The sequence below is a fragment of the Homo sapiens genome, chromosome 6 (assembly GCF_000001405.40).
Source record: "Homo sapiens chromosome 6, GRCh38.p14 Primary Assembly".
Lineage (NCBI taxonomy): Eukaryota > Metazoa > Chordata > Mammalia > Primates > Hominidae > Homo > Homo sapiens.
Genome location: NC_000006.12, coordinates 52,122,339 through 52,141,844, shown reverse-complemented (window position 1 = coordinate 52,141,844; position 19,506 = coordinate 52,122,339).

The window sequence follows — 19,506 nt, the reverse complement described above, 5'->3', positions numbered from 1 at the left end:
ATGAGATAACACATGTGAATATCTTGAGTTTCTTAGGAGAATGGGCCAATGGCAATATAAAATGTCACTCAACAGGTTATTGAAAACAAGATTTACTCCACACCCCAGCCCTGCCTCATGATCAGACAACTGCTCAAAACCCTTAAATTACTAACATGTCCTTTCCCTTGTCCTGAGAAGCAAGTACCATTTAAAAGCGTTCCAGACTTAAGTAACAGTAAAAAAGTAGCCTCAAAAGCATAAACAGCAATCACAGTTCTTTTTCAGTTTCTTTTGCTGAGCAGGACAGTATTTGAACATAAATGACTCAACACATTAAAGAGATAGAAGGATGCTTATTTCTCATTAATGGTCCTTAGAAAGCCTATTGGATTTGGGTAAAATCAAGGACAGGTTGAGACCGAGAGAAGTCTGAGTAAGACAAATGTGATCTTCAAGGTTATTGGCTATGAGGGGTGCAGGGAGAAACAGCATGGCTTGGACATCTGTGACTTGAGCAAGCTATTTAACCTCTTTCAGCCTCAGCTTCCTCATCTGTAAAGTGAGACTAACAGTGCTTCCTCAACGGGAGGAATTAGATTTATGTAGTGTGCCATGAGCATAATATTTGAAGTTTAATAAATAATCTCTATTACTATTATTAACATTATCTATTAATAATATACAATCAACATAATATTGATCTTATTAATAATTATATGTATTATATTATTAATTAATGTGTAATTGATATATTAATTAGTATTAATCTGGCAATGGAATCTACTTACTACATGGAAATCCTTATATTTGATCTACTTTAAAGGGTTTCATTAACATGACAATTGTTTTTATGTAAGGGGTGATTCAAAGATACTTGAGAAAGCAAAAATATTATCAAAAATATTCGTCGTACAATTTTAGTAGATTTGTTAAAAAAAGGTATTAATCAGTATCATTTCTGACAAGAATCATTACAGGTTCCGAATGTCTGGGATGCCAGTCTCATTTTTAGGAGTTTTATGAAAGGATATATGTGATGAGATGCTCAGACTGTCCCCTTACTGACCACAGGGGATTTTCCCTCTGATAATAGATCTGATCTTAGTTTGTTTGCTGGATGAGGATAGAAAACCAGGATTCTCTGCAGAACAATCACCTGTAGGTGACTCTCTGAATTTCTAATATAGGCATCTTAGCTCTCCCTATTCCTTCTCTGCCCCTGGTGAAGCTTGGAAGTTTTAAACAACTGATACTAGCTTGCTAAAATGTAATCAGAATTGTATGCTTTTATGGGAATTAGAGCCCTACTAGTGTCTGCAGAAGGCATGGCCTGCACTGATGCACCCACTTCAAAGTCTGAGGACTTGTGACCTTAAACACTGGTATCTCTTCCTGGTGTTCTTGGTGGCTGTCTGTGAAACAGAAGTGATTCTGCTGCTCACTAAGTGAAAGCCAAATTATTTGGGGCTTACCATCATCTGGCTGAGGAGGTCGGAAATAAAGTAGAGGTCCCTCCTTTTAAGGCAAGCATGGGGTAGTAATTCGGGATAAGACCTTATTTTTTCTGGGACTCAGCCAGAATGTCTTGCTATTTTTAGAGAACTGGCTAGTTCTGAATGTTGATTTAATCTTAGACAGGAGTCCCATTTAACTTCCCAGGGGCAGCCAAGAGCAATGCCAGCTCCAAGAGCCCACCTTCTCTTCCTGCTGGCATTCTGCCACCTTCCCCAGAAGAGGTGAGTATCAGTGGCATTTCACCATCACTGTTGTCCTTGCCCTGCTTCTCATCCAGGAGAATTGGAGCTGGAACTTCAGGGGAGGGGAGGGTAAGGGGAGGAGAGGGAGCCAACATTATACTAAGCCGTTTGTTTAGAGGATTCATGCTTACAACAATCTTGTGAAAGGCATTTGATGAAACTGTCACAAGCAGGCTAAGTAATTTGGAGACAGAGTGGCTAAGAAACTTGCCAAAATCATTCAGCAAGTAAATGGCAGACTTATGACTTGATGTTACTCTCTAACCCAAAGCTCACATTTGTTCTAATATGCTGTATTTCCAAACCTTGCCTGATTCTTGGTGTCTCTGAGGCGCTTATTAATATCCCTGTTCCCTGGTAGGGGAGCACTCCACTCCAGAGCCACGGGATCAGAATCTCCAAGGTAATAGCTGGGGATCCACTTTTAAAGCAATCACTCCTAGGTGACTTCTATGCTCAGCAAATTTAGGAAATAACAGCTCTAGGACAGTTGCTTTCATGCTTGAAGAAATGTTAGAATCCCAAGTTTCTATGCAGATTCTTCTGACTTGATCTGATAGACACTGAGATAAGTGATCTGGGTCAGGGCCCAGGAACCTGCATTTTTGCACATCATCGTCCTCCCCACCCCCACCATTTTATTCTGTTACAAGTGGCCAGAAGACTTTGAAAAACAATGATCTAAAAATAAACAAGAAAGAGGGATATGGATTCTATAGCAATAAAATCATTAATCCTGGAAAGGACTCACTTCACAGCAGTCCAAAGAAAATTACTTAGTTTGGGTTAAAGGATGAATTTCTGCAAACATGGTGATAAATGGTTAGATCCAGAAACAGGGTGATCCCTCTGTACAATATGAGTAGTCAACATCTTAGTGACAGGAATGCTAGAGGTGACCACTAATATCTAACCTTCCCAATATTCCCTAGGCTCAGTTTCCACCAGGAATATTCCTTTTCCTTTGCCCAACTTCACTAGTTAAAATTCTTTGCTTTAAGGCTTAGTTCAAAAACCACTTTCTTCCCAAAGTTCAAAACCACTTTCTTCCCAAAGTTTCCTCTCCATTCTCTTCCTCTTCTTAGTTCCTATGTCTGTAATTGGGCATAAATCACATGTTATTTTGCAGTCTAATTCCTCGTGTACCTGTAATGCGTCTACATCTCTTCTCCTAGAGGGCCAGCACTCTAACTGCTTCATGTTTGATTTCTCAGCCATCTGCCAAAGGCCTTTTGCACAGTAAGGGTCAAGCGGATAAAGCCACCACCACTACCACCACCCTTACAGAGCACAGTGTGCAGGTCTTTTTTAAGCATTGTAACACGTATATTAGAAATATTTCTATTTTACAGGTGGAGGGAACAAGGAATTGAGAGGTTGTTTTTTGGTGGACGGGTCTCTTTTACAAATTCTAGCTCTGTAGATGATCAGCACGTAAGGAGATCTGAATACTGAGGATTCTGGGAAGAGGTCCTTAAAAACTCTTAACCTTTTGATTAATTTAGTGCATCAGAATCACGTGAATGGCTTGCTGAAACACAGATTGCTGGGTCTCACCCCCAGAGTTTCTGATTCAGGAAGCCGGGGTAGGAACTGAGAATGTTCATTTCTAGCACGTTCCCAGGTGATGCTGATGCTGCTGGTCTGGGGCCCACACTCTGAGAACCACTGCTCTAGGTCAATGTTTCTGACACTCCACACTTTGAGGGCAAAAAATTGGCCCTTATATTCTGAGCTTCCTAAAAGCAAAGAGATGAGGGAGAGGAATAGAAACCACACAGAAGTTAGGAAGGTGTGAGCCCTTTCCAAGGGCATGGTTGTAGGTGCTTTCACTGATGAGGGTGCGGACAGGCAGTCAGCACTCAAAAGAGAGGGAAACACTGCTGGAAGTCACTTAGTGCTTTTGGCTTGAGCAGTTGCTTGCCACCAGCAATGATTTCATTGGTTTCCAAATTTTACCAACAAGTTTTCTGTGTGTTTTGGTGAAGAATGTGTATAAAATGAGATGAGTATTTTTCTTGAGAAGATAGCCCAGCAGAGAGTCCACTGACTCACTTGACTTTATATCACATTTGCAGAGGGATCATAAAGATAATATAATACAATTTAATAATACAGAATAATGATGAAGCTTTTTATTACAGCTCCCAAAACTGTTACTTAAAAAAAAAAATTTGTACCTGCACCTATTAAATTGAGTGAGGATTAAGAATTGCCCAAGGTCCAGGGACCAAGTCAGGAGCATGGGGTTCTCGTCCTAGTTTTCCAAATAAATACATTGCTCAGGGACTTAATTTCTTAGTGGAATAGTTAAATTGTCTTAGTGGGGACATCTATGGGGTCATCCAAAAACCCATCCTCATGCAGCAATTGAATATTTGAGATAAATTAAATATTAAAAATAAATTCCTTTGAATTGCTTGAGAGCAAAATTCAATAGATATTCAAAATACTTTGCCAAGGCATTCGAAGGGCAAGCCACAAGTACAAGGTCACATGCTGTCAGGTTCTCTTCCGTCTCTCCTAACACCGGTAGCTCTTCTTTAGGTAACTGACCAGCCCTTTCGGGGATTACTTTGAAATCTCTCCCCTCATTGTCCCTCTTGTCTTCCAGGCCCACCCTCCTCCCCCTCTGCCTTTGCTTCAGTCTCCAGCACCCAGAAGCAAGTCCACTGTCAGTACTGGCGAACAAGTCATTCCCATGCACTCAGCCTGGGGGTTGGGGGCTTTTCTCTTATTCATTTCCCCATGCCTGGCTCTGCCTGTCGGATCTGGACTCCAGCTGTCTGCCCCCACCTGTCTGAGATGCAGAACTTGGAGCTTCACCTGCTTCTACAGACGCTGCCTTGCTGGCTTCAGATGACAGAAGCAGATCGCCTGCAGGGCTTCCCAAAAATTCACAAAGAAAGAAAGACAGATGGGCAAGGCAGGAACGGCCAGAGGACAATTGGAGGAGAAAGCAGCACGCGGGGAAAGCTCAGCACATACCTGGGGAAAAGTTGCAGGCGGGTCCCTCCTCCTCGCTGGGCTTTCTTCCCCAGCAGGCTTCGGCCCCCACTGAGGTGTTTAGGATGTGGATAGTTATTTACTTATTTATTTATTTTCCAGAGCTGGCAGTGTTGGTTCGCATTTCTATGCCTTCCTGTCAGAATTCTCTCAAGGAAACGGCAGCTGGTGAGCTCAGAAATGTCAGTCAGAATCTTGGCCTAGTTTGGGGCCTTGAAGATTCTTACAGAAAGTTAAAAAGGTTTCTGGGCCAGTGTCTCCTTTGGGTTTTCCCTCTTTTGCTTCTCACCTTTTCCATCTTCTATTTTTTCTTTTTTTTCATTTTACCCCAGTAGCTAGCTACTTAAATTGCCTGCTTCTGTCTTTCCGATGGTCCCCTCTTGGGTACGGCTGTGGCTCTTCTTTTGGCTCAGCCTAACAGCCTGGTGATTTTCTAAGCATTCAGATCGGTACTTAGACACTCATTGCTTATTTTGTCTTCTTACTTATTCCCTTTTCCCCTTTCCTCCCTCTCCTTTCACTCTTATCTTTGTAATTGCTATCCTTCTAATCACACACAGAGAAATCATCTTCATCTGTCCTTTATGTGCATTTCCTATCCTCACTGAATAGGCTGTCATTCCCCAATTTGTGCCCTGTCCACCCATTTCTCCTTCATTCTTTAGTTCCATCACTTGTTCTCGATTTACCTTGGACTTGGGTCCTGTCCAGATGTGACCTAGCTACAGATCTGATCTCTCCTCTGCTCTCTTCTCCTCTCCTCTCCTCTCCTCCCCTCTCCTCTCTGTTCCTCAGGCAGTTTCACTCCCTGCCTCCTCTTATCTCTGCTCTCCGAAGGGGAGCCTCCTCCTTTTGTACTCTCCAGTCCTCTGCCCACCCCCAGCACACTCTCCCACCTGTTTGTGTCTTTTAAGGGACTTGGTCCTGTCCATGCCTTCTGTCCACCTCAATCACCCCAGTGACGGGCCTCTGAAAGCTGTTAAATTACACCTCTTCAGCTGTCCCATTGCAAGGAGAAACGATCTCTGCTAAATCCTTTTTCAGATAGGCAAATCTATATTAATGCCTCTGTTGATGGAATATACTGAAATGATGCATGTGTTATTTTAAAGAGTAAGAACATTAATTTTTTCAAATGAATGAATCCCTGTCTCTTGATACTGGGTTTCTTTTAGGTTGTATCACTATGTATGACCTCAGATACAGCTCTTTAAGCTTGTTAATAAGTTATTTGGGCCATTTTTCAAGTGGGATGTAGTTATAGTGGAGTTATGGGAAACATGGGTGGTGTGGGGCTTGACTGGATGCTTGATAACATGTGTCTAGTGACTGCCTGTCAGGTCACAGTGCACCATATTAAGCACTAGAAATAAGTTGTTTATGTTCCCTGCTCTTGAGAGACTTACAGGCTCTTTTGGGGATAGGACTTGAATCTGGGGGAAATACACGCACAGATATATACACATATATAAAATATAATAATTACAGACTGATAGAATGGCAAATAAGCACTCTCGGTATTCAGAAGCAGAGATTAACAAGTGGTGGGCCAGGTAGTAAACGCTTCATGGAGGAGACGGGTTTCAGCTAGGTCCTGAATGATAGGGAGAGCTTATATACATGGAGAGGGAGGGAAGGGCTTTCTCAGATGTGGGAACAGCTTGAGCAAAGACATAGTGGCAGGAATGTGCAGAGTGTGTTCAGGAAATACTGATTAACCTGTGGCTGGATCCAATGCTTTGTGAAGGGGTCAGCCTGGGAAAGGCCTCGGGCACAAAGAGCCCTTCTGGGAAACTATACTCATGGTAGGAGATGGCAATGTTTTAAAGAGTTCCTTCAGACCACACAGTTACAGATAGCTATATTTGAAAAGAGTAGTGCTATTCTGTTTTGATATGGTTTCTATAAATGCATATGAATTTGGATGATTTGATAATTATTATCTGAATAATCATGGTCTGAAATTTGTTGCTATTGAATATTCAGAGAGAAATAGACATTTCTCTCTAATCCTTAGAATATTAAGTCTTTTTATTATTATTTTTTTTTCTGGCATTTGTTACTGAAGGTCTGCTGTTATAAATGTAGAAAACTGCTAGCCCCACTCATTCACAGTCTATCACCGGTTCTGTCTCCCTCACACAGTTGGCCCTAAAGTCTACTCAACATCACTTTTTCCACTTACTGAAAGCTTGATTCCACCTTGGCTGGATTATGCATTTGTTATGGGTCTAGATACACTTTAACATGTCTTTTTCCTGTTTCATTTTTTTTTTTTTACAATTTCTTTTTATGTAAGTCTAGAATTCACAGCACTGTAAACTTCTGGAGGTCAAGTTTATACTTATTTTGATTTCTTCTCTTGTTTGCAGCACAATATAAGGACACAGTGGCCTCCCAATGAATGGTTGCTGAAGTCAAATTGGATCAAAAGGTTCACTAAAACACTAAAACTGTCCAAGAGAATACAAAATACAAACCCAGCGGCCACATTACTAAACATCTTCTGAATACCGTGACAAGCCTTTAGTTCTTCTGAGATTTTTCTAGGGTGAAAAGAGGGAACTGATGTTAATTTAATAATTCATCTATATATAGGATTATACTTTAGGTTTTCAAGTCACAAATCCTTATGAGTCTCATGCACTATTTTGGTTAGGTAAGCCAAAGGTATTGATAATCAAATTTGGAAGATGAAGAATGAGCAGACTTGCTGAGGGCCACATGGAAAAAGATGAGATCATCTATTGAAAAATATAGGATCAAATTCAAGCCTTATAATTCCTAATTAAATCTTTTTTTCACCTCAGCACCTTTTAGGTCAGAAATTTTGACTTCCTGATAAAGAACTACTTTCGTTTTCTCTAAATTCTTATGTAAATCGGGTTGGTTTTAAAATGATGCAACTTGATGAGTGAAGTATTAGAAGTGAACATGAGGAGTGGGGACTGTTCCTGAGATCTTTTCCAGTGAGATGATCTTTCCTGTGGAAATCTCCAGAAGCGAGGAAAAAGGTTAAATTAGAGCTGGTCCTGAGCAAGAAGTATTCTTCAGGAAAATCTTACTTGGTTATTTACTTAGTGTGTTAGAGAACCAAGGCCCGGTTTAGCAATGAGTCTTGCCCCCTGTCACAGAACCCGCATCTCCTGACTCCTTGGTAAGTGTGCTTTGTATCACACACAGGCATCATGATTGTCTCCTGTTTGGTCATGAGCCTCTTGAAGAGCCTTCTCTTCCCCAAGGCCACCACTGGGACAGGGTGATAATAGTGAAGGGAATACTCAGGTTGCCTTATTCGTGGCTGGAGGCCCATCTCTTAGAGCCCTACAATAGTGAGCAGAAACTAGGTGAAAAAACTCCGTAACTGTGGGAGTGTGGGGGAATGCAGAAAACAGACTGTTCCATGTTAAAAACTGTTTTAATGCTCAGCCACTGACTGTCATAAGGGTGATAGTAATAATAGTGAAATCATGGGATGGTAATAATAAATCCTTTCAGATACTGCCAGAACTACATATCGCAGGCTTTAGATGCCAGTGGGCAGCTGCTTGGCTAAATGTGGACCCCAGTTGTCAAGGAGAGACCCACCCCAATACAGGAGAAACAAATCAACAAGTATTTGCAGGGCACACACAGGGCAGAGCCTCTTGGAGGTGAAGACTTCAGTTTAGACACCATCTCTGCTTTTAAGGAATTAGCAATTTGAAAATGTGCTCAGAATGTCAAGTTTGATGTAGAGACATGTATGGCTCCACGAACTGGCTTGTGTAGACCAGAGATAAACTAAAGCATCATGTGCCCTAGTTTATTATCCTGCCTCTAACCAAATGGTTGACAGTTGTCAGTGTTGTGGAGCTGGATATCCATGAAGATAGTGTCAGCAATAAACTTCTGTTAACTTTTTTGTTTCCAAGATGGTTTAGTTTCCTTGAACTAGAAGGCAGGATTTTGCTACTGTGTAATTGCCGAAGTCATTGATTCTCACCTTAATGTCCTCTTCTAAAATCCAGAGGTAATAATAACCTAGCCACCTCTCTTACTAGCTTGTTTGGAGGATTTAAGTGAAGTAACTTCTTTGGTTTGTGTGTTGGTTGTTTTAGTTGTCCTTTGAGTGTGTAAGCAGTAAGTAGTGCGATGAAGGCACAGAGATCAGTTTGGGTTTCATGAAGGTGGATTCAGCAGTAGATGGAGTATGAGGCATTTGCCCACAATTATACATTTCAAGGGAACATCTAGTCTGGGCTTCTCATTGTGTAGTAAGGAAATGGGTTCTTGAGAGTTAAAGTGATTTTTCTCCCCATTGTCAGTCTTGGAATAAGCTATGATGTTACAGAGTCTGCCAGGTTTTTCTCATGACCAAGTGAGAACAAACGAGATAATGATTGTGAAAGTTATCCATCAGCAGTAGAATGCTACACAAATGTGAAGTGTTATTTTATTGAAATGTGTCCCCCAAAGCCCGTTATTGCAGAAAACTGGTAATCACCCTGGGTGATGGCAGAGCTTTGGGGCCTTGGACACCAGCTGTTCCCCAGGAGGTTTTCCCAGCTGCTGCTAAGGGCAACCCTGCAGTGGAGGAGTCCAGAAGTGGACATTCCGAGAGCACAGACTTCATATAGGATTGGGCTAAAGCAGGTCAAAGGCAAAACAGTTGAAACTATTTGGGAAACAGGTGGGGACAATGGAAAATTCATTTGGCTAAATGTGTGCTTAAATCAACACAAAAGTTATCTCAGTTGCTTTGTTTTGGAAAGCAGTGCTGTAGTGTTTAAAAGCTCCCTCCTTTCCTCTCTCCCTTTTCTTCCTTTCTCCCTTCCCTTGTCCTTTCTTTCTTCTTCTTTTAAGAATATTAACATTTAAAGCTTATTTAAGAGAAACTGGAAAGGTGATTTAACTCTCCTTAGGTTATGAAGAGGTATTAATGAAGGTTGATTACCAGTCGTGTGATTGTTTCCCCTGTATATAAGAGAAGAACGTGTGATTTCAATGCAACAAAGGGATTTTAGTTCAATATAAGGGAAACTATGTTGTATCAGATCCCTGGTATGAGACAGCTCCAAGCTGGGTGTTTTCATACACTTTTTTCATTTAATCTTTACAAAACTTCTCTTTGCCCCCAATGTATGCTAAGCTTCAAGAATAGGGGTGGTTTTCCCTGTCTCTCATATTCTACTGCCTTCAGATTATTATTTTTAAAAATATAGCCTATGTCTTGTTTGTATGCTACTTAAAATAACTTTTAAAAATGACATATCCTCTAACACATTTGAAAATTTATATCTGAATTTTAAAATTATAATTATGTAAAGGACTTAATTTCTGGTGTCTTGTAAATATTGACATTTCAGTTCAAATGTTCTTTTATTCTTCCAAGTATATGCAATGAAATCTAATCCATAGCAATTTGACACCCACCCTCTTTCATTAAAGAAAGATAAATGCAAGCTCTTTTAAACAGTTGGAAATTTGCAGCATTCCTTTTCCTTCCGGAACCTGTGTTATCCCATTTTATTTCCCATGACAAGTTTTATCGTACTGTAATGCATTATGTTTGCAAATATGTTATTTATTACTCTATTAGAGACTTCAACAGATAAATGTATATACAAACTTGAAATTAAACTTCAAATTTAAACTTTGTAATTAAAAATAAAAGTAAGCCTAGGCAACATGGCGAAACCCAATTTCTACAAAAAAATACAAAAATTAGCTGGGCATGGTGGTGTGCACTTGTGGTCTCAGCTACTCAGCAGGCTGAGGTGAGAGGATCACTTGAACCTTGGAGGCAGAGGTTAAGTGAGCTGCAATCATGCCACTGAACTCCAGCCTGGTGACAGAGGGAGACCCTGTCTCAATCAATCAATCAATCAATCAATAAAATTGCTTTAATTTCTAGCAACTATAGAGCTAAGTATTAACATTTTTCATTTGGACTGAATTATCATTATCATTATTACTAGTACATGGTTACTCGAAATAGCATAAATAAGTTACAAACAATAATTACTAAATATTAAAATTAACATTTATTGGAAATAGATCTTAAAAATTGATAGGGCTTTTAATTTTTCCATGAGTTCATATATCCAGAATGGATGTTACTAATTGCATGAAGGTTTGGCATTGACTCTATTCTTTTTTTCCATTTACAGATGTGAGCACTGAGAGTGTTTGCTCTCACATAAATAAGAAGGTGGGAATGGAAGGAATTTTATTATGGCAATTTCACAAAATTCTTTTAACTATATCTGAGTTTTCTGTCAGAAACCATGTAGTATTCTATTATGAAGATTATTATTAATGGTCCATCACTGACAACTTGATGAGGTTCTCCTTCAGTTTTGTTCAAGGTTAAGAAATGGAAATGATGCAACTTGTAGAGAAATTTGTTACCCAATCATGAGAGTATTTTCTTGGGAGAGGCATTCTGCCATGGGCCCTGATTGTTCCTGCACATTCTTGTTGAGTATGCCAAGAATGCAAGGCTCTTATTGCTTTTTACCAGGGACATTTCTCAGAGTAACGAGCAACATTGAGATGAGTTTACATCTGTCACCACACCAAAAACAAACAAACAAACAGACAAACACACACACCAGAGTTGCTTCTGCTTCTATGAAAGTGGTGAATCTCCCAAGCTCAGTATGATACAAACCCACAGTGTACACAGTATCCATTTAGACATGGGGGACATGGGAAACCAACATGGGGAACATGGGAAACTGACATGAGCCAACATCACGCTCATGCTTCTTGCTGTGTTGAGAATAATAGAGGTTGTAGTCTCTGAGCCAGGAGTTCCATGTCTTGTCCATGAAATTGTAGCAGACTAGCTTATTAGCTTGCAAGTAGAAAAAAATCCCAGATCCTTCACAGACCCTGACTTATTTATATTTTTAATTTCTGGGAAGAATGCCAAGAAGACATTACCCCAACTCACTGAATGATGGCTAATTGTACCAGTTACTCTTTCACATGGAGATGCCCTGTTTGCTATAATAAAATCAAAGTGTTGGCAAAATTTAAATTTGTTAGCTTTGGTATACCTTTGTCAATATGATATTTTTGAAAATCACTTTAAAATATTGTCATGTTCTTTAAATATAAATTCATCTAAACTTGGAGCCACAGACTTAGTTCATTCGATATTTGGGAATGTCTGATTGGCAAAGCCTATCCCTATTGGTCAGACAATCAGCCAAAATAAACTTATTTGATGTCACTTATCTGCCTTTATTTTTTTCAATCCAAATAAATGTGTTAGATGTCTTTTTGGGACATCCATTTTATTTCTGAAGAAAACAATGAATGGGTATGAGTTTCTTTACGTATCTCCTCAAAAACATGGAATTCAGTCCTCTTAGCTTTATACCATTTTGCCATCTTAAAGGCAATATCTAATGTTCTGGGCAAATTTAGACTCAACCTTTTGGCAACTCAAGTTTGTTCATGAATAAAGTAGCATTTCATTAAGATGAAAAGAATGGATCTGAAAAATGAAGCCTCTCCCATGCCTGGGCATTGAAGCAGCTCCACAGATGATAGATGTTCTTATTCACTCTTTCCAAAGAAAGCCCAAATCAACACAAATAAAAGTAGGAAAATTTGAAAATAATTTCTCCAATGCAAGACCAGAAAAGTCTTTGCATGCTATAGTTTTTTTTTAAACAGTAATGCTATTTCCTTTGCTGTAATAGTGGATATAGATTATTAATTGAGAGAGAGTAAAAATATCCCTGGATTCATTAATAGGTAAGGGAGATGTTTTGTCTACTGCAATTTTTGCGACAATCTGCCAACTATCTTTTCAATGAGGTACCAAGGTATCTGATTAGAGAATCCCTTTAATTACAGAAATGCTGTTTCCTGAATTCCTGAATGGCATGTTCACCTGCCTGCTGAGTATCTCCCCCATCATTTCCAACAGATTTCTCAAACTCAGCATCTCTAGAACTGAACTCCTAATCTTTAATTCTAAAATAATTTCATCTTCAGCCTTCCCAATCTCTGTTGTCGGCAACTTCATCCTTCCTGTTGTTCAGGTCAGTCATCCCTGACTACTGTCTTCATCTTCACCTCAAACCCATTTGATCACATAATCCTATAGGCTCCCTTTCAAAGTATATCCAGAATCTGATCATTCCCCACCACCTCCACCATATCTACCTTACCCTGAGGCACTGTCTTCTTCTGTCTGAATTACTGCAATAGCCTCCTAACTCATAAGAAGGCAGAGCCCTGCTTCTGCCTGTCCCTCTTACAGTTTATTTTCAACAGATCAGCTGAAGCAATCATTTAAAAGCATAAGTCAGATGATGTCCATTCTCTGCAGGATGCCCTGCAGCATGCCCTTTTTACTCAGAATAAAAGCATTGTCTTTACAATGGGCCATGTAATTCCCCACCCAATTCCCTGAGCTCATCCCCTATTACTCTTCCCCTTTGCCCACTCCCCTCACAACATTGACTGGCTTCCTTGATGTTTCTTCTGCATGCCAAAGGTATTTCCACTCTGGAGTTTTCACAGTCACTATTTCCTCTGCCTGAAATGTTTTCCACAAATATTCATATGGCCGACAACTTTACCTCCTTTAGGTTTTTGTTCAGTTGTCTTTTTAATGAGGCCTACTCTGGGAATGCTATTAATGTTAAAAATTTCTACCCATATTCCTTGGCTTACACTCCTAATTCCCCTTTACCATCTGCGGTAAGCAGCCTCTATGATGGCCCCCAGTTCACCTTCAGGTATTCACAGCCTTGTGCAATCCTTTCTCTTTGAGTAACTCATTTCAAACTAACAGAATATGACAAAGTTGAGGGATGTCACTTCCATGATTAGGTTACATGAGACTTTGACTTCTATTTTGCTAGCAGATTCTGTCTGTTGCCTTCTCAACTTGCATTCTTTGATGAAGCAAGTTGCCATGTGGGAGAAGCTCATGTCTCAAGGACCTGAGACGCCCTCTGGCCAGAAGCCTGATAATCACAGGCTCTCAGTCCAACAACCCACAAGGAACTGTTGACTCAGTGTCAACAATCACTGAATGAAATTCGTAGTGGATCCTTCCATACTGGAGCTTTCGGATGAGACCAAATCCTGGGCTGACACTCTGATCGCAATCTTGTGAAAGACTGTGAAGCAGAGGATCTTGTCAAGTTGTACCTGGATTTCTGACCCACAGAAACTGTGTACAAAAAAATGTATGTGCTTTTAAGCCATTAAGTTTTGGGGCAATTTGATATCCATAATAGATAGCTAATACTTCTCTATGCTTTTACCTGCTAGTTTATAAACACCATGAGGGCAGAAATCTCTATTTTGTTACTAATGTATCCTGATTACCCTGAATAGTGCTTGGAATTTAGTAGTTACTTATATTTGTTGGATGAATGAATTAATGAATCACTGAGTTAACGAGTGATGCCCTTGGATTAATGAATTAATGAATGAATTAATTGTTGGATGAATTCATTCATCCAACAACAGTTGGTGGATGAGTGAATTAATGAATCACGGAGTTAATGAGTGATGCTCTTGGCATCTAGCATAATTGTAGCTATCAACAGTGCATAAAGAATTATAACTTTTTCTACAATCATACAATACTTTCCATTTTTTGCAATGAATGTTGCTAATTTGTAATAGATTTTCCAAAGTCAACTTTGATAACTACATGAAAACATTAAAATTATTTACATTTTTGCCAATCTCCTCAGTTTTCATTAACAAAAATTTAATAGTTTTATTTTTCAAATCTAGATGTTTGAAAATAAAAGATACTGCAAGATTTATATAATTGTTTATATCTAATCTTATGCGACTTCTCTCTGGAGCCATGTCTATTTTAATGATATGGAATTAAAGAGATAAAGTCATTAATTTAAAATTGTCATCACTCCTGCCATCCTATTCTTCTACATATCTAAATTTAGAACACCCTAATATTGGCTCAAATTCCCATTTCTAATGCCAGACTTTGTAGTAACAGAAATATATCAAAGAAGGAAAAGACAGGCAGCTCTACTGTAGCTTCATTGTCTTGATTGAAGCAGGTTTTACAGACACCAACATTTCGAATTGCCCATTTTTGACACCCCAGAGTTTTTATTACACCTTGGGAAAATGCACCACAGGAAGAATCAGGAGAAATTAAAGGTGTATATTTCTTTCTGTACAGTGGAAAAAGTAAGGCTGTGAAAGGAGAAATAGAAATGGACAACCTGGTTGAAGTAGTGAGAAATGAATTTCAGCAGAGTACTCTCTGAATATATGTGGGAGCCAAGGATTTGGGAAGCGGTTCCCCTAAAACTGTCTGTGTCCTTGTACCTGTTAGAAGGTCTCTGTTTACTCCAGTTTTCAGACATCTAGCCTAACCAGCTGAAAAATGTTTGCTTGGGGTTGGAGTGAGAGCAGAGAAGAGCTGAGGAAAAAAGTGACTGTTTTTGTGGCACTCTGGGCTGACTTCTTTCAAGTTAATTATTTTACACTATTATGGCATGGAGCTGAGTGAAGAAGGTGTTTGTCATCCTCAGGGGCTATGATATTTGACAGTCATGGATTCTATAGATTTAAATATACTTGCATATAAAATGGTGAAATAAGCTTACACCATTGGAAAATGCCTAAGGGTACAAAAGCAGGCAAACTGGAGAGACAGCCAAGTGACTGCCTTTTACATTTTTCAACCACAATGAAAAATCAACTTTCTTCAGAGTACCAGGTTGAATTCCACCATTTGGAATTATGCTTTTTCCTTTTGTAATGGAGCAATAGTTTCACCTATCACTAATTCCATCTAGGAGATTATCATACAAGAATAAAGAGGCCACATTGCTCTCTTGCTCTTTATGTATTTTTTTCTTTTTTTTTTTTTTGAGACAGAGTCTTGCTATATTGCTTAGGCTGGATTGCAACTCCTGGGCTCAAGGGATCCCAAGTCACTGGGACTATGGGTGCATGCCACCTTGCCTGGCTTACGTGTGAGTCTTATTATATTAATATTTGGTGTATGTAAAATGTATATAAATTAAATTTGTAGAATGATTGAGTCAGAGGGGGTGTTTAATTATATTGCACATAAAGTAGTGTGGCATCCATTTTTCAATCTTTGGTTCCCAAGGAACTGCCAGTAGCATCTAGCAGAGGCCATTGGTAGCTGATGCACTTACTTGTGAGCATATAAAACTTCTCAGAGGAGAGCCAGAAATTTTAACATGTTGGGGGGAAGGAAGCTAAGGTTCTGCTGAACGTGTAGAAAAGAGCAAGTTCCTGTGACATTTGGGTTGATGATGACACCCTATCTGCCACTACATTCCAATGTATGTAGGGGACAGGGGCCAGTGGAAACTCAGGTTACATAAAAAACCCTTAGTTCTTGGTGAGCAGCAACTGGTGAAACCCCTTCTTTTTTCCCTACTAGTTGCCTCTTGAGTTACCATCCCCAGTGCCTTCCCACTTTCAGAAAAGGCTAGGGCTGGAAATTACTCATTTGCAATAATTCTGGTTGAAGTGAGCCTTTCTCTCCTTTTTTTTCCCCCAAAACAAGAGTGAATTTTCTGTCTAAACCCTCTGATGGACACATCGATACAGATCACCAGTCTTCCTGAAAATCATTTGAAGGAGAATTGGGAGGGAGGTCCCCACATGACGTCAGGAGAATGGTGAATGCAGGCTGCCTGGTGCCTGGCCTCCCTCCTGGGACAGAAGTGGCACTCCCTCCCACATGTTTCCCCAGCTTCACCCTGCCCTCCAAACCCAAGGCTGGCAGGTCACCTAGTTAATGTTTACAACAAAAACCTGTTGAACAGTAGGAAATTCCCACCTCCCCCCAAATACAAAAGCCTTTCATGCTGAAACCCCCCTCCTGAATTTCTCTTGGGCAGAGAACACTAGATGTATTACCTCAAATAATCGCTGCTGAGATGGAAGTTCAGCTTCTCAGGGAAAATATTATTAGCATTTATGTCAGGAAAAATAAAGTTCTGAGGAAGACCCTAGAATTTTAGGGCAAGCGTGTAGCACTAAGAAGGTCAGTGGATCCCAGATGCCAGTATGGATCTTGGACTCTTTGAACACAAACCAGCTACAAGGTTGGCCATGAGATGGGTCCACAGAACAGCTAAATATTCAGTGGAGGACTCAGTTCAAGCAGCTTCTGAGAATGATCATCCTGTCAGCTCTTTTGTGACAGGCAATCAATCATTAACCTCTCCTAACCACCCTGGAAGAATGTTTTGGAATTTTGATTAAATGTGGTTTATGTTGGCAATAAGAGAAAGAACTAAGTAAATGTTTGACATTCAGCCTCTGCTCTGGAGAATAAGAGGTGATGGAAGACTCTATTGAATAAGCTGTATTTTATTTTGATTTGTTTGATAAGAATGAAAGAACATGTCCCAGGGGGACCCACATCCCTTCTTTCCTGTGGGGAGTGTCCTAGCAGACCCCACATAGGCATCCTTGCTTCTCCACTCTGCTAGGACTCTAGAGGTGATTTTTGGCCTCAGGGGTTATAAGTATCTGGGGCATCAGTGGACAAATGAATATCTATTAGAGAACTTTTACCTGTAGGTCATGCTTCCATACAGGCAATATCTGGAGAGCGAATAGGTAAGGTTTCAGTGCACAGAAAAGATGATGGCTAAAATATAAATTTGATATTTTGTTCACTGATGTATCCTAAATAATTAGAAGAGTGTTTGTTGAATGAATGGCTCTACTCACATCAGGGACAGCCTGCTAAGACTGGCTGGGTGATTCACATAGTGGTTGCTTTCCGGATGCACTGCTTTTGCATCTTCTGGGCCATGGTTCAACTTTATCATGACTCAGGGATATGGTCCAGGTATCCAATCTCCAGTACAGTTCCAATACCCAATCTCCATAACTCCCCCCAGTATGTCTCTCTTGCCCCTCATCTTAGCCTTCTCACAGAAAAAATGAACAACATGTTGATTCTACTCTTTTATCCAAATGATAGCATTCCTTCTTCTAGTCTTAGGATAGCTGTCCTGATCCATACATATATCCCCTCCAAAGGGGAGCTACCTTTACAGTTCTAAGATGAAGAAAAGGAAACAAAAACACAACTTTATAGTCTGTCAAGATTTTTGCTACAGGACAAATACATTATCTGCATGTGAAATCTGACTGCTCACCTCTGGGCTCACACTTTTCATTGACTTTATAAAGGTTCTTAGGAAGCATAGATGCTATGTATGGGTATTTAATGGGATAGAAGAAGCAACAAAACTGCATTTCATAAGGGATAATAACTGGCCCAACATCAGCGAGGTTGTGTCATGGTGATACAGAATTGAGGAGCAGGAAGGTAGAGAGGAAATGCTATTCCTTCTCCTCTGTCATTCATTCATTCATTCACTCATTCATTCAATATTTATTACACACTGATTCCATGCTAGGCACTGTTGCTAGAAGCTGGGGATGCAGTGGTGACATAGAAACAAGATCCCCGTCTTCTTGGAGCTTAGTATATTAGAGAAGTTAGATCTTTCCTACTTATGCCATTGGACAACTGAAGAGAGAGGAAGCTTAGACAGCTATGAGGCCTATGGCAATCTGAATTCTTCCACAGGAATCTCTAAATAGAAGGCTGGGAGCACTTGGATGCTAAATTAGCCTGATGTAATCCAGGTTGTATTAACTCCAGGAAAGACCTAACCTGACTCCAGGAAATGAATTAAGAATGCTATATAAATAAGTTTCTAATAAAATCTGGGAGTAAGCCAGAGTGTGTTCCCTGCCCCCAACCCCCTTCTGATTTAGTGTTGCAACTGTTAAGCTGAACCAAAGGAAAAAAAAAAAAAAGGAAAAAAAATACAAAGACTACCTCAAAAACCAAACTACAAATTGGGAGAAAATATTTGCAATGTATATACTAGCAAAGAGAAATATATCGACAATATATAAAGAGCTCCTACAAATCATTACATATAAAATGAAATTACGATATCAAAACAGGCAAAGTTATTGTATCTTCTCGGTCATGTTTCAATTTTATCATGACTTAGAGATGTGGCTTGAGTCTCTAAACTCCAGTCCAATTCCAGTGCTCTATCTTCATGCCTCCCCCAGGTCTGTGTCTCTTGTCTGTCTTTCCCAGCAGGAAACAATGGCTTACTCAAAGAATTTCAGTGAAGAGTTTAACGAAGGAACAGTCTTTAGAGTTGTGGCCAGGTTGTGAGAATAAACAACAAAAATACTAGCAAAATCCAGAAACCATTACCATGTCTAGATCTGCAGGCATCAGGGGAAGGAGTTGCTTATTGGAGCTCGGAGAGAGCTAGAGTTCTGGATGAGGGGACTTGCCTCCTGGGTCTGAGCCTGAGTGGTGCAGTTCTTACAAGTCAGCCCGCATGGTACAGAACACAGCATAGGAGAGTAAAGAATGGATGTGGTGGGGTAGGGAGGAAACAGAGGATAAATAGGACAGTGATAAATAGAAATCCACAGTTTAAAACTTAGTATCTAATAAACATTAGATTCATTTAAAAGCTCCTCAACCTCACAAATAAGTACTAAATTGTAATTTTTAGAACGATTTTCTCACATTAGGTTGGCAACATTGAAAAAACAGGCATAATATTTAGTGTTGCTGAGGATGAGTAGAAATGAGAACTCTTATACATTATTGATAGCTTTCTGGAGAATAATTTGCCATTAGTTATTTCTGTTTAAAATACTATTTAAACCAGCAATTCGGCTTCTAGAAGCAGCTTACTCAGCTTACGCTGGGCAATAG